The following is a 16180-nucleotide window of genomic DNA, read 5'->3' on the forward strand; positions in this document are numbered from 1 at the left end:
CGATTCTTCATTGCTGGATTCCAGTTGTGAAAACACAATAATACATTTGTAAATGGATTGTTGTCAGGGTCAGATGATAATAGGAAGCATTTGAAAACATCTATATGAACTTAATAAAAGGTTCTCTGGGTTCAAAATAGCTGCTTTTCAAACCTAGAGAGATTTAAAAAAGGAAATCAGCTTTGTGCTCAGGTAGGTTCCTTTCTCTCTTAAGAATGAATTGGGGGATCAACAACCCGAATATAAAAGCTAAAACCGGACAACGCTTAGAGGAAAACACAGGGGCAAATTTTCAAGACCTCGAATGTGGCGATGGTTTTTTTGTTTTTGTTTTTGTTTTTTTATTATACTTTAAGTTTTAGGGTACATGTGCACATTGTGCAGGTTAGTTACATATGTATACATGTGCCGTGCTGGTCCTTTGCAGGGACATGGATGAAATTGGAAATCATCATTCTCAGTAAACTATCACAAGAACAAAAAACCAAACATCGCATATTCTCACTCATAGGTGGGAACTGAACAATGAGATCACATGGACACAGGAAGGGGAATATCACACTCTGGGGACTGTGGTGGGGTGGGGGGAGGGGGGAGGGATAGCATTGGGAGATATACCTAATGCTAGATGACGAGTTAGTGGGTGCAGCGCACCAGCACGGCGATGGTTTTTTTAAAGATGACACCAGAAGCACAAACAACAAGAGAAAAAAATAGATAGATTGGATTCAGCAAAATTAACTCTTGTGCATCAAAGAACATTATCAAGGCCAGACACGGTGGCTCACGTCTGTAATCCCAGTACTTTGGGAAGCTGAGGCGGGCAGATCACCTGAGGTCAGGAGTTCGAGATCAGCCTGTCCAACATGGCGAAACCCCGTCTCTACTAAAAATACAAAAATTAGACAAGCACAGTGCCAAGCTTGTGCCTGTAGTCCCAGCACTTTGGGAAGCAGAGGCAGGAGGATTGCCTGAGCCCAGGAGTTCGAGACCAGCCTGGGCAACACGGCAAGTCCCCATCTCTACAAAAAATACAAAAATTAAGGAGGTGCTGTGGTGCCTGACAGTAGTCTCAGCTACTTGGGAGTCTGAGATGGGAGGATCGCTTGAGCCTGGAAGGTTGAGGGGCTGCCGTGAGCCATGATTGTGCCACTGCATTCCAGCCTGGGCAACCGAGTGAGATCATGTCTCAAAAATAAATAAATAAATAAATGGCAAAAGACTTAAACAGACATTTCTCCAAGGAAGATAAACAAGTACCAACAAGCACATGGCAAAGTCCTCAGCATCATCAGTCATTAGGAAAATGCAAATCAAAATCACAGTGAGATGCCACTTCACATCCACTAGTATGACTATGACTTTTTTTTAGTCCAATCAACATGTTTATTAAGCAACTACGTACTAAATATTTAGGAGTACCATATCCCATTTCTTTTTTTTATTTATAACTTTCATTTTAGGTTCAGAGGTTTATGTGCAAGTCTCTTACGTAGGTAAATTGCGTGTCACGGGGGTTTGGTGTACAGAGTATTTTGTCACCCAGGCAATAAGGATAGTACCCCATAGGTACTTTTTTTTTTTTTTTTTTGAGATGGCATCTCCCTCTGTCGCCCAGGCTGAAGTACAATGGCACCATATCAGGTCACTGCAACCCCCGCCTCCCGGGTTCAAGCGATTCTCCTGCCTCAGCCTCCCAAGTAGCTGGGATTACCGGGATGCGCCACCATGCATGGCTAATTTTGTAATTTTTTTAGTAGAGACGGGGTTTCACCATGTTGGTCAGGCTGGACTCGAACTCCTGACCTCAAGTGATCCACCCGCCTCGGCCTCCCAAAGTGCTGGGATTACAAGAATAAGTCACCGCACCTGGCACCATAGGTACTATTTTTTGGACCGCACCCTCCTCCCGCCCTCCACCCTCAGGTAGGCCTCGGTATCTATTGTTTCCTTCTTTGTGTCTATGTGGACTCAGTGTTTAGCTCCCACCTATAAATGAAAATATGCAGTATTTGTTTTTCTGTTCCTGCGTTAGTTTGCTTAGGATAATGGCCTCCAGCTCCACCCATGTTACTGCAAAGGACATGATCTTGCTCACTTTTTTTTTTTTTTTGAGACGGAGTCTCCCTCTGTCGCCCAGGCTGGAGTGCAGTGGCGTGATCTTGGCTCACTGCTAGCTCTGCCTCCCTGGTTCATGCCATTCTCCTGCCTCAGCCTCCCAAGTAGCTGGGACTACAGGAGCCTGCCACCACGCCTGGCTAATTTTTTTGTATTTTTTAGTAGAGACGGGGTTTCACCGTGTTAGCCAGGATGGTCCCGATATTCTGACCTCGTGATCCGCCCGCCTCGGCCTCCCAAAGTGCTGGGATTACAGGCGTGAGTCACTGCATCCGGCCTGTCTATTCCATGGTATATATGTACCACGTTTTCTTTGTCCAGTCTACCACTGATGGGCATTTAGGTTGATTACATGGATGACTACAATTTTTACAAATGGAAATAATACGTGTCAGTGAGAATGTGGAGAAATTAGACCCCTTGTGGCAGTTCCTCAAACAGCTAAATGTAGAATTATCATACGACCTAGAAAGTCCACTCTTAGATAAATATGCAAAAGAATTCAAAACAGGCACTCACAAAATATATGTGCACATATGTTCACAGCAGCATTATTCACAATAGCCAAACAGTGGAAACAAACCAAATGTCCATCAATGAATGAATGGACAAAGAAATTGTGGTATATCCATACAATGGATTATCATTCTATTTATTTTTTTTGAGACAAAGTCTCACCCTGTCGCCCAGGTTGGAATGCAGTGGTACAACCTCGGCTCACTGCAGCCTCGGCCTCCCAGGTTCAGGCGATTCTCCTGCCTCAGCCTCCTGAGTAGCTGAGATTACAGGCGCCCACCTCCACGCCTGGCTAATTTTTTGTATTTTTAGTAGACATGGGGTTTCACCGTGTTGGCCAGGCTGGTTTTGAACTCTTGACCTCAAGTGATCCGCCCGCCTCGGCCTGGGATTACAGGCATGAGCCACCGCACCTGGCCAGATTATTATTCAGCCTTAAGAAGGAATGAAGTGTTGGTACAAGATACAGCATGGATGAACTTTGAAAATGTTATGTTAAGTAAAAGAAGCCAGATGCAAAAGGTTACACATTGTGTGATTCCATTCATATGAAATATTTAGAATAGGTAAAGCCACAGAGGCAGAAGTCTGATTGGTGGTAACCAGGAGCCAGGGGAGAAATTGTTTATTGGGTAGTAGGCTTCCTTTTGGGCTGATGAAGACGTTCTGAAACTAGATAGAGACTATAGTTGCACAACATTCTGAGTGCACTAAATGCCACTGGATTGTTGGCTTAAAGCAGTTAATTTTATGTTATGTAAATTTCACCTCAATTTATTTACACGTAGTTAAGATTTAATAACTTTCAAAAAAGTCAATGACATTTAAATATGCATCATTGATGAAGGAGTTTAGTCCATTTTCGTCATAGGACTACATACAGTTGAGCTTTACGGCTTATACAGGCCAGCCAAGGTGGCTCACACCTGTAATCCCAGCACTTTGGGAGGCTGAGGCAGGCGGATCACCCGAGGTCAGGAGTTCGAGAGCAACCTGGCCAACGTGATGAAACCCTGTCTCTACTAAAAATACAAAAGATTAGCCAGGTGTGGTGGCGCACACCTGTAATCCCAGCTACTTGGGAGGCTGAGGCAGGAGAATTGCTTGAACCCGGGAGGTGGAGGTTGCAGTGAGCTGAGATCGTGCCACTGCATTCCAGCCTGGGTGACAGAGTGAGACTCTGACTCAAAAAAATAAAAATAAAAATAAAAATAAAAGGTTTATACAACGTATGATCTTGGTATCAAGTGAATAAAAATGTAAATTTCACGTCAATTCTTAAAAAGTGAATTGAGGATGTAGAGGGTGGAGACAGGGGGATGATGGATGCCAGGAAGCACGTCCTCCAGGCAGTTTCTCCCTCTAGATGCAGAGGCCATCTCTGAACTCAAGGACAGCACAAAGGACTCCTAGGGTTCACCCACCCAGCCACCCACTTTACAGATGGGAAAGTCAAGGCCAGAGAGGGCGGGGACTTGCCCAAGGCTACATGTCGCATGGGAAGCCACAGAGGAGTTACAGCGAGGGCTTCAGGGCTTGAGGCTGGCACTGAGCCATGACACTACATGGCCATGGGGGCTGCAGGGGGCCCATGGCTGTGATCAGAATAGTAAAGTCCAAGTTAACATGGGCCTTCCAGCCTGAACATGTGGAAGGGACAGTGTCATCAACCCATTGGTTATCCCAGTTCATCCAAGCCAAAGGCTCTGTATGAGTCAACCCAGGTCTTCCTTGACCGTCGGCCCCTCCATGAAGGCAGTTGTAGCTTTAAAAGGAAAACTCATTACCCAGCTGTTCTATTTCTGCCCACAGCCTTCACCGCTGGGTTGAGGTCATCAGTTTCCCCACAAGGGTAATGGGAGGAAGGCGAATGTCTTAGATGCCCCCTGAGGGACCCAGGAGTGCCCAGTCAGGCCCTGGAAGGAGAGGCCAGCTAAGCTCCTGGACCCCTGAGGGCTTCTCTTCTTTTTTAAGGTTTTGCTGACCCAGACCTGTTAGGCAGGTATAAAAGGGGATGGCCAGGCTCGGCCAGTCACCCAGTCTCTTCCAGTGTGGTCTCAGGTAGGAACCTAGGGGATGCTGGGGAAGATGGGAACGGGGAGGGCTTGCAGTGGAGGAGAACTGGTGGGAGGAGAGTAGAGGTGATGATAAGAGCTGAGCTGGGCGGGGGAGGGGATGAGCATTTTGCGAGCACCTGCCTGCCCCAGGGGCTGTAGAGACAGCATCTCATTTAATCCTCCAAGTTGCCCAGTGTGGTGGTTCATGCCTGTAATCCTAGCATTTTGGGAGGCTGAGGCAGGAGGATCTCTTGAGACCAGGAGTTCAAGACCAGCCTGGGCAACATAGCAAGACACTGTCCCTACAAAAACGTTAAAAATTAGCAGGGCATGGTGGCATGCACCTGTAGTCTCAGCTCCTTGGGAGACTGAGGTGGGAGGATCACTTGTGCCCAGGAGTTGGAGGCTGCAGTGAGCTATGATCGCACCACTCTACTCCAGCCTGGGCCACAGAGTCAGACCCTGTCTCAAAAACAAAACAAAACAAAACAAAAACCTCCCCCAAGTGATCTGTGTTGCATGCCCGCTGGATGTACAGTTGAGGGGACTAGTCTGGAGAGCTGCTAGGACTCCCATGTATCCACAAGTGAGACAGGGGAAACCAGGATTCAAACCCAGATCAGCCTCCTTCCCCTGCACCACCTGCCTTCCTTGGTGCGTGATGCTGGATTCATGGGTTCTATCCCTACTCTGTCCTTCCCTTGGTCTGCAAACCATCATCTTTCCCTCTGAAGAGTCTCAGCTTTTGCATTCCACGAGCTACATTGTCTATATGTTTTGTGGTTCATGATTTATTTAGGTCGGTCTTGGTTATCAAAGATACCCGAGAAGAGCCATTGCCTGGAGGGACAGGGGGGTTTTGCATTCAGGGAGGCCTGGAAGTGGGGAGTCATTAGCAAGCAGGAGGCTGGCAGCCACTAAAAGGGATGGAACCTGGTGTCAGAGACCTGCACGTCCCTCAGGGCAGCTCCTGGCTGGAGGGGCCTGTGCCCTAAACCACCAGGCCCACGCAACAGCAGTGATACCTTAGCTTGCTGTTCACGGCAGAACCATCATTAAAAAAACAATACAAAGGCCTGGCACAGTGGCTTATACCTGCAAACCCAGCACTTTGGGAGGCCAAGGCAGGTGGATCACTTGAGGTCAGGAGATCAAGACCAGCCTGGCCAACATGGTGAAACCCTGTCTCTACTAAAAATACAAAAATTAGCTGGGTGTGGTGGTGGGCGCCTGTAATCCCAGCTACTCAGGAGACTGAAGCAGGAGAATTGCTTGAGCCCAGGAGGGGCAGAGGTTGCAATGAGCTGAGATCACGCCACTGTACTCCAGACTGGGTGACAAGAGCAAAACTCCTTCTGAAAAAACAAACAAACAAACAAACAAAAAATACAAGGGCCTGGCACAGCGGCTTATACGTGCAAATTCAGCACTTTGGGAGGGCGAGGTGGTAGGATTGCTTGAGGCCAGGAGTTCAAGGCTTCACGGAGCTATGATTGCATCACTGCACTCCAGCCTGGGTGACAGAATGAGACCCTGTTCTAAATAAATAAATAAATAAAGTCAAGCAGCCTAATTGGTATAAACAAAGGCAACTTTCTTGCCTCCCCTACCCCCATTAGAGCAATTGAGAAACCCAGTTCTCAAATGTGGGCGATGTTTTGTTTTAGTGGCAAGTCGAATGTGTCTTCGCCTGACTGCTGGCACGTGCATTTCTCTTTTTCTTTTCTTTTCTTTTTTCTTGTTAGACAGGGTCTTGTTCTATCACCCAGGCTGGAGCACAGTGGTGCAATCTCAGCTCACTGCAAGCTCCGCCTCCCGGGTTCTCGCCATTCTCCTGCCTCAGCCTCCGGAGTAGCTGGGACTACAGGCGCGTGCCATCGCGCCCGGCTAATTTTTTGTATTTTTAGTAGAGATGGGGTTTCCCTGTATTAGCCAGGATGGTCTCGATCTCCTGACCTCGTGATCCACCCATCTCGGCCTCCCAATGTGCTGGGATTACAGGTGTGAGCCACCGCGCCCGGCCAGGCACTGGTATTTTTAAATTTTCTTTTCTTTTCTTGAGACAGCGTCTCGCTCCATTGCCCAGGCTAGAGTGCAGAGGCACAATCAGAGCTCATTACAGCCTTGACCTTCCCAGTTCAAGCAATCCTCCTGCCTCAGTTTCCCAAGTAGCTGGAACCACAGGCACACACCACCACACCTGGCTAACTTTCTAATTTTTATTTTATTTCATTTCATTTCATTTCATTTCATTTCATTTTATTTTATTTTATTTTATTTTATTTTATTTTATTTTATTTTAATTTTATTTTATTTTATTTTGAGACAGAGTCTCACTCTGACCCCCAGGCTGGAGTGCAGTGGCACAATCTCGGCTCACTGCAACCTCTGCTTCCAAGGTTGAAGTGATTCTCATGCCTCAGCCTCCCGAGTAGCTGGGACTACAGGCACATACCACCAGGCTCGGCTAATTTTTTTGAATTTTTAGTAAAGATGGGCTTTTGCCATGTTGACCAGGCTGGTCTCGAACTCCTGGCCTCAAGTGAGCCACCCATCTCGGCCTCCCAAAATGCTGAGATTACAGGCGTGAGCCACAGCAGCCTGCCTAACCTTCTAATTTTTATAGAGACAGGGTCTCGGTACGTTGCTCAGGCTGGTCTTGAACTCCTGGCCTCGAGCAATCCTCCTGCCTCAGCCTCCTAAAGTGCTGGAATTACAGCCGTGAGCCACCTCCACCCAGCCAATCACCGGTATTTTCATATCAAATTACAGTAGTTGCAGACATCTCAAAATATAATTAATTCTTACTGCTGCTCCAAAACTATAGTACTTGTGAGACCTGCTGCTAGATTATGTTATTTGATGCATTTATAAAGAGGCACATCTATTACTAGATCATGCATTTTTAATATTTTATTAATTATATTTTAATGTCATGTATTTCCTTGGTAATCCTACATATTTTATTGCTTGAATTTGAAACATTTTGTCCAATAGGACCACAGGTATCGCCAGACAACCAAAGAGGTCCCTGGCCCATGAGGGCACAAGACCCCTGCCCACCTCCTCTCCTTTCTTGTTTCTGTGCAACAGCCGAGCTTTCCGGGCTAGGATGGCGGGGGCGGGTGACGCAGAAAAAAAGTTCCAGCCAGAACTCTCTACGCCAGGCCCCATAGGAAGACAAGAGGAGGAGAAAGCGCCTGGCTATGCCTCAGTGGCTTGCCTGTTGTGACTCAGCTTCTTTTGGAAAAACTGGGGGTGTTGGCAGGAGAGACTGTAGGCGCAGTACAGCGAGGGCCCAGCGCACAATTAGGAGTCCCTCATCTAAAGGCTGAGGCTGTACCCTTGGCCTTGAGAAATGCATTGCTGGCAAAGAGGCTCAGAACCACACCCTCCCTGAAACTTCGAGAAGGTTCTTCAACCCCAAGACGAACTGGGGAGGCCCCTGATTTCTGTCTTTGTTCCCTTGAGCCTCCAGTTCCCCTCCTTCCTGGGGATTCAGTGAAACTGTTTGGGGTTTGGGAATTGAGAGACCCAGACTGTCCTCGTTTTAGGAGAGATAATAATTGACCCAGGCAGTCATTTTGTACTAGGGACCGCTGGATGTCTGGTGAAGCCTGTGGACTCCGCTCAGATTAGTGTTTTTAAATGAATAAAATAGGCCGGGCATGGTGACTCATGCCTGTAATCCTAGCACTTTGGGAAGCTGAGGCAGGTGGATCACTTGAGGTCAGGAGTTCAAAACCAGCCTGGCCAACATGGTAAAACCCTGTCTCTACTAAAAATACAAAAAAAAAAAAAAAAAAAAAAAATTTGCCAGGCGTGGTAGCGGGCACCTCCCAGCTACTCAGGAGGCTAAGGCAGGAGAATTGCTTGAACCCAGGAGACAGAGGTTGTAGTGAGCCAAGATTGCAGCACTGCACTCCAGCCTGGGCAACAGAAGAAAACTCCGTCTCAAAAAAAAAAAAAAAAAAAAAAAAGGTAAAATAAAATACACAGAGCTGCAAAGGAAACGAATGGTATTGTAATACTGGCTGGGTGCGTGCGCTGGCTCAAAAACCAGTAATCCCAGCACTTTGGGAGGCCAAGGTGGGAGAATCACTTGAGGCCAAGAGTTTGAGATCAGCCTTGGCAACATGGTGAGACCTCATCTCTATAAAACATTTTAAAATTAGTCGAGCATAGTGGCTTATGCCTGTAATCCCAGCATTTTGGGAGGCTGAGGTGGGAAGATTGCTTGAGCCCAGAAGTTGGAGGCTGCAGTGAGCTATGATTGCACCACTGCACTCCAGCATGGGTGATGGAGTAAGACCCTGCCTCTGAAAAAAAAAAAAAAGAAAAGAAAAAATATATTAAAAACTAATTTGTGACATGGCAGTAAGGCAATAATAAATGTCCTTCTTTATTAAAAAATTTAAAGAACAGTATCAAACCAAGGGCTTAAAGAGACCATAATTTTAAAGTTGAGATGAAGATAAACAGTATTTTGAGACATCTGCAGCCACCCTAACGAGAAGTGAAGAGCTTTGATTTTTGCTGGGAGCAAATAGAGGCTGTGGTGCTACGGAGGTCTGTGGCCTCTGTTCATATCAGATAGAAAGTGAAAACCAAGTGGCAATTGTTTTCCTGTCCCATTTCACAGACCCTGGGTAGAAACCCTACCTTTAACCTCTCCATGCCCCAGTGTTCTCCTCCATAAAATAGGCTTCCTGATCCCTACCTCACAGCCTTAGTATGAGGAACATATGAGATGAAAGAGGCAGAAGCATTTGTGTTGTTGGGGGTGAGGGGGTACTTAACTGTGAAGATTTATTAGCTTATTTCATTTTTAAATATAACTTCAACTTTTAGATTCAAGGGGTATACATGCAGGTTTGTTATATGGGTATATTGAGTGACACTGGGATTTGGGATCCAAATGATCCCATCACACAGGTGGTGAGCATAGCATCCAATAGGCCATTCTTCAATCCTTGCCTCCCTCCTGCTCTCCCCCATCTAGTAGTCCCCAGGGTCTATTGTTTCTATCTGTCTGTACCCAATATTTAGCTCCCACTTATAAGTGAAAACATGTGGTATTTGGTTTTCTGTTTCTATGTTAATTCACTTAGAATAATGGCCTCCAGCTGCATCTATGTTGCTGCAAAGGACATGATTTCATTCTTTTTTATGGCTGCATAGTATTCCATGGTGTATATGTACCACATTTTCTTTCTGTTTTTGGCTTTTTTTTTTTAAGACAGGGTCTTGCTCTGTCACCTAAGCTGGAGTGCAGTAGTACAATCATGGCTTCCTGCAGCCTTGACCTCCCCAGCTCAAGCAATCCTCCCGCCTTAGCCCTGAGGATAGCTAGGACTACAGGCACACATCACCATGCCCAGCTAATTTTTTAATGTTTTTGTAGACATGGGGCCTTGATATATTGCCCAGGCTGGTCTCAAACTCCTGGGCTCAAGCTGTCCTTCCACCTTGGCTTCCCATAGTGCTGGGATTATAGGTGTGAGCCACTGTACCTGGCCTGTACCACATTTTCTTTATCTAATCCACCACTGATGGCCACCTAGGTTGATTCCATGTTTTTGCATTGTGAATAACACTGCAGTGAACATACAGGTGCATGTGTCTTTTTGGTAGGAAAACTTATTTTTCCCTTTTTTTAGATACCCAGGAATAGGATGGCTGGGTTGAATAACAGTTCTAAGTTCTTTGAGAAATCTCCAAATTGCTTTCTACAGTGGCTGAACAATTAGCTTCTTTCTTATTCTTGGTTATGAAAGCCTAATAGCACCAAGACAGACAAGGTGACATGAGAGAAGCAAGCCTCTGTCTTTCTCGGGACATTGACTTCAGCCTGTGAGCCTCAGCAGCTTGTCTCTGCTTCCCCCTACAGCACCCAGGGAAGTCCTGGTTCCTGCCCTCAGCTCCTTCCTGCTCCATCCTCAACCAAGCCACCATGCCTGGTGGGTACAAAGGGGAGTGTGGGGACGATGTGGACCCTATGCCTTTCCTGGCACCTCCTGAAAAGGAGAGGATTGAAGCCATGAACAAGCCCTATGACATTAAGAGGTCCTGCTGGGTCAAAGATGAGAAGGAAGGCTTCGTCGCTGGGGAGATCCAGTCTGAACAGGGTGACCAAGTCACCGTGAAGACGATCACCAACCAGGTGAGTGGGGCACGATCTCCAGGATGAAACCAAGTGGCAGGCACCCAGGCCTTTTCTAGGCATGCTCCCGCCCAGAAGGCAGGGTGGCAGAAAGAGCAGGTGCCTCCGAGTCCCATGTGCTGGGGTCAAATCCAGACTCGCCTACACTCAAGCTGTGTGGCCCTGGGCAAGACGCATTCCCTCTCTGAGCTATATCACAATAGAGATTCCGAGACAGATCACATGAAAGCACTTCATAGACTCTAAGACAGTACCGTGCGTAAGGGATGATCGTGAGAGTTACTTATCTTTGATGTCTCAAACAGCTCTCAAGTGGAAGCTATTTTCTAAGCATGAGAGTGAGCATGTCACTTATGAGCAGTGTCACTGTGTGCCATGGCCCCTGGTGGCATGAGGGCCATGAGAGAGGGCACAGAACACCCTGGCTCACTGGGTGAGCTCTTCAGCTGCATGAAGAACAGATGGTGGTTCCCAGGTCTCTTGGAGCATGGGGGTGGTGTGCTGGATGTGATGGCTTCCGATGGCTTTTAACGTGTTGCAAGGACCCAACCTGGCTAATGATGGCTTGCAGGGACTCAACCTGGCTTATCGTGGATTGCAGGGATCCAACCTGGCTTGTGATGGTTTGCAAAGACCCCAACACTAAACAATGAGGGATTTTACAGCCAGTTGTTAAACCTTGGGTAGCTTGCTATCAGCCGTGATGGAAGTATTTATACCATGGAAATGGGAATATGCTGTAAATCAGGGACACTTCCCCCCAGACAGCTGGTTTACCAACCCACCCTTCTCTCTGCTGGCCCACACTACGTCTGACTATGAGATATGACTTGAGAGAATGGATAGAAAATTTGGCTTATTAGGCTAGGCGTGGTGGCTCACACCTGTAATCCCAGCACTTTGGGAGACCAAGACAGGAGGATTACTTGGGCTCAGGAGTTTGAGACTGTCCTGGGCAACTTGGTGAGACCCTATCTTTATTTTTAGAAAATAATAACAATTTTTATTAGAATTTTTTTAATTTGGTTTATTTTAAATGGGTAAGGGCAGGGTCTCTTGTATTCTTGGCAGACCCCTGGTGAGGCACTTGACACTTTGTTTAATCCTTTTGGCAATCTTATGTGGTAGGATTTATTGACCCTATTTTGCAGAGAAGGAAAACTGAGGATCAAGGGCACTTTAGGTGACCTGTGTACGTTGCAAAAATAGCAAATGATGAATTTGGATTCAAACCCACTGTATCTGGCTCATATGCCCATGCCCCTTCTATGTCACCATTCCATCCCTTCATGGTGGGCTGCCAAGAGGGAGGCATGAGCCATTGCACCCGGCCACTTTTCCATTTAAGAAAAAAGACATTACTCTGCTCCCTCCAAACCGCCTTCAAGGATAAAATTGAGAGCAAGCAAGCAAAGAAAACAAAACAAAACAAAACAAAAACAAAAAACAGAGCAATGTGTGTTCAGCAATAAATATATTAGCACCTGCGAGGTCCATTCCTGGTTAATTTCTTGATTAAAAGAAGTCAGAGGCCAGACGCGGCAGCTCAAGCCTGTAATCCCAGCACTTTGGGAGGCCGATACAGGCAGATCGCTTGAGGCTAGGTGTTTGAGACCAGCCTGGGCAACATAACGAGGCCCCGTTTCTACAAAAAATTAGCCAGGTGTGGTGCATCCCTGTACTCCCAGTTACTTAGGAGGCTGAGCCAGGAGAATCGCTTGAGCCCAGGAAGCTGAGGCTGCAGTGAGCTAGGATTGCACTGCTGCACTCCAGCCTGGGTGACAGACAGAAACCTTGTCTCAAAAAAAAAAAAAGGAAGCCAGAGACCTCAGTGATCAGAACTGGCAACAGCTGTATTTTTCTCTGCGCCTGTCTTCGAGAGGAGCAGTGGTAAAAAGATATAGTTGGGTGGAAATGGATTTGAACGAAAGTCAAGCTTAATTCCCAGGAGAAACAGTTTTCAGAGAGGAGAGTGCTGCAGTGTCGTGAGAAGTGATGGGTGATGATAGTGGAGCCCCAGGGTGCATCTAAGTTTGGATCCACATTTAAGGACAACACAATTTCCTTGAGTATCTGCAGCAGACAGTGCCGGCCAGCCGGGTTTGGGACAGAAAAGATGGAGCCTGTGGCGCTGGCTTCCCTGGCTCCTAAAATAAAGGCCAAGTTCTCCATTCCTCTGCTGAAAGCGAAGTGTCTGCACGTGGACGAGGACCAGAGATCTGGAAACCCCTGGAAATGAATTCAGAATAAAACCCAGCTTGAGGCCAGGCATGGTGGGTCACGCCTGTAATCCCACCACTTTGGGAGGCCAAGGAGGGTGGATCACCTGAGGTCAGGAGTTTGAGACCAGCCTGGCCAACATGGTGAAACCCCATCTCTACCAAAAATATAAAACTTAGTCGGGCATGGTGGCCTGCGCCTGTAATCCCAGTTACTTGGGAGGCTGAGGCAGGAGAATTGCCTGAACCCAGGAGGCGGAGGTTGCAGTGAGTTGAGATCACGCCACTGCACTCCAGCATGAGTGACAGAGTGAGACTCTGTCTCAGAAAAAACAACAAAACAAAAACAAACAAACAAAAAACAGCTTGGTTTACTAAGGGCGTGGTAACCATTACGGGGAGTGGGGGTGGATTTTCCAGAACTGTCAAGATTTCAAATTATCTGCCTATTGTACTAATAAGTTATTAAAAGTCCCAGAAATCCCAGTATGGATTCAGGCCTCACATCTAAGGTTGCAGGCAGCCAAAAGGTATTTGTTTTCTAGATCGTATGTCTTCAGCTTTGATCCCAGATGCTGGAGCTTCTTAAGAGCTGGCACTAGTTTTTTTTTTTTGTTTAGTTTTGTTTTGTCTTGCACTATCACCCAGGCTGGAGTGCAGCGGCATGATCTCCGCTCACTGCAACCCCCGCCCCCTGGGTTCAAGTGATTCTCCTGCCTCAGCCTCCCAAGTAGCTGGGGTTACAAGTGTGCGCTACCACGCCCAGCTAATTTTTGTATTTTTAGTAGAGACAGGGTTTCGCCATTTTGGCCAGGCTGGTCTCGAACTCCTGACCTCAGGTGATCCACCCACCTCGGCCTCCCAAAGTTCTGGGATTACAGGCATGAGCCACTGCACCCGGCCTAGTTTTCATTTATAGATGAAGAAATTGGGGTGCAGCATGGGGAAGAGATCTGCCCACATGGCACGGGCGCGAACACACCTACTGATGAATGCTCATTGCTGGTTTCTTTTTTTTCTTCTTTTCTTGCTTGCTTTCAATTTTATCCTTGAAGGTGGCTTGGAGGGAGCAGGGGAATGTCTTTTTTTCAAGTGGAACAGTGGCTACATGTGGTGGCTCACACCTGTAACACTTTTGGGGGCCAAGATGGGAGGATCATTGAAGGCCAAGAGTTCAAGACCAGCATAGGCAACATAGCAAGACCTTGTCTCTAGAAAAAAAAATTAAAAATTAGCCAGGCATGGTGGTGTGCACCTGTAGTCCCAGCTACTCGGGAGGCTGAGGCAGGAGGATGGCTTGAGCCCAAGAGATTGAAGCTGCAGTGAGCTATGACTGTACCACTGAACTCCAGCCTGGGCAACAGAGCAAGATTATGTCTCAAAAAATAAAATTAAATTAAAAATTTAAAAAGGAAAAGTTTGGCTGGTCTGAAGGTAGTGAGTTATCTCAATTGATTGTGCATGGTCAGTTACAGATCAAAATCCTTGTTCCACTCTTCCCCCCACCCTTCTCATTACTGCACTTAGTCTTTAAAAAAGAGAGAGAGAAATGGAAAAGCTCATCGCTATTTCGAAATCACCGCTAACTCTCAAGGCAGAGAGCCAAGAGTCACATCTCTGCAAAGTGTCCATGGGATCAAAGAATAAGCTCTGATCATCTATCAGGATGGATTTGGCTGGAAGAGAAGCAGAGCCCAGAGGTCTCTGTAACATAGGGAGGGAACGTCATAGTTTTTAAGGTATTTTTACATGATTCCACTTAAGTTCATATAATTCTCCCAGCAACCTGCCAAGGAGGCTACTGTCATCTCAACTTCAGAGAGGAGGCAGTTGAAGCTGCATTGGCCTCAGAAGTGCCTCCCCATCCCAGGACACACAGGGGGATGTGGCTGGACCAGGACTTGGGTCCACTGGATGCTCCACTCCATCTCCTGGGACTCCAGAGGGTATGTGGTGACCTGGGCCAGATGCCCCATGCCCCATGCCTGATGCCTGTGCTGCTGTGTCTTGACCCCCCCAGACACTCACTGTGAAGAAGGATGATATCCAGCAGATGAACCCACCCAAATTCTACCAGGCCAGTGACATGGCAGACATGACCTTCCTGAATGAGGCCAGTGTCCTAGACAATCTGCGCCAACGCTACACCAACATGAGGATCTATGTGAGTGCCAGGGATGGGGTGAGTGGGGGGAGGAAGGAGTGGCTGTAGATCTTCTGCTTTTCTTTTGTTGAGGAGGGGGTTGGCTACTCCACCCTCCCCAGCTCCCAGTACACATTATGACTTAGACAAAGGCACAGGGACCACGTTTCTGACATGTTAGAATTTCCACCCAAAGCCTTCGGCATCTCAGTAATGGCACCATCTCCGTGAGCAGCTTTTGCTGAGGCTGTCACCCGAAAATCTTCCTCCTCATGTTCCTCCCCTCTTCCTCAAACTCTCAAATCAAAACATCATTTTTCCCCTAGTGACTTCATGTGCCATTATTAGAAGTCCATCCATCCATCTATCCATTCATCCATCTATCCATTCATTCATCCATCCATCCATCCATCCATTCATCCATCTATCCATTCGTTCATCCATCCATCCATCCAAACATCCATCCATCCAAACATTCATCCATCCAAACATTTATCCATCCAAACATCCATCCATCCATCCAAGTATCTATCCATCCATCCAAACATCTATCCATCAACCCAAACATCCAAACATTCATCCATCCATCCATCCATCCATCCAAACATCTATCCGTCAATCTATTCATCCACCTATCCAAACATCGATCCATACATATATACGTCCAAACATCTATCCATCAGTCCAAACATCCAAACATTCGTCCACCTATCCAAACATCCATCCATCCATCAACCAAACATCCATCCATCCATCCACTCATCCACCCATCCAAACATCCAAATATCCATCCATTCATTCATTAATCAAAACACTCATCCACCCATCCATCCAACAAACATTGAGGAAATGTGACTTGTAGCCTGAGGCACTTAGGAAGGACAACCAACTGCATCCTTGAAGAAATTCAGTTTCACTTTGTCTGACATGATGACCAGAGTGAGTTACAATCAGTCCCCTGAGT

At 46.9% G+C, this 16180-nt stretch overlaps 1 protein-coding gene across 1 annotated transcript in view; it reads left to right on the plus strand.

The window, feature by feature from the left end:
* The first annotated feature begins 10644 nt into the window (after positions 1 to 10644).
* The window catches only part of MYH16 (myosin heavy chain 16), a 72300-nt gene continuing 66764 nt past the window's right edge, over positions 10645 to 16180 (plus strand). The window contains exons 1-2 of the transcript NR_002147.3: positions 10645 to 10854; positions 15094 to 15237. The gene's annotated coding sequence lies outside the window, so the exon portion shown is untranslated. The remainder of the gene's footprint in view (positions 10855 to 15093; positions 15238 to 16180) is intronic.

This window comes from Homo sapiens, chromosome 7 (genome assembly GCF_000001405.40).
Source record: "Homo sapiens chromosome 7, GRCh38.p14 Primary Assembly".
NCBI lineage: Eukaryota > Metazoa > Chordata > Mammalia > Primates > Hominidae > Homo > Homo sapiens.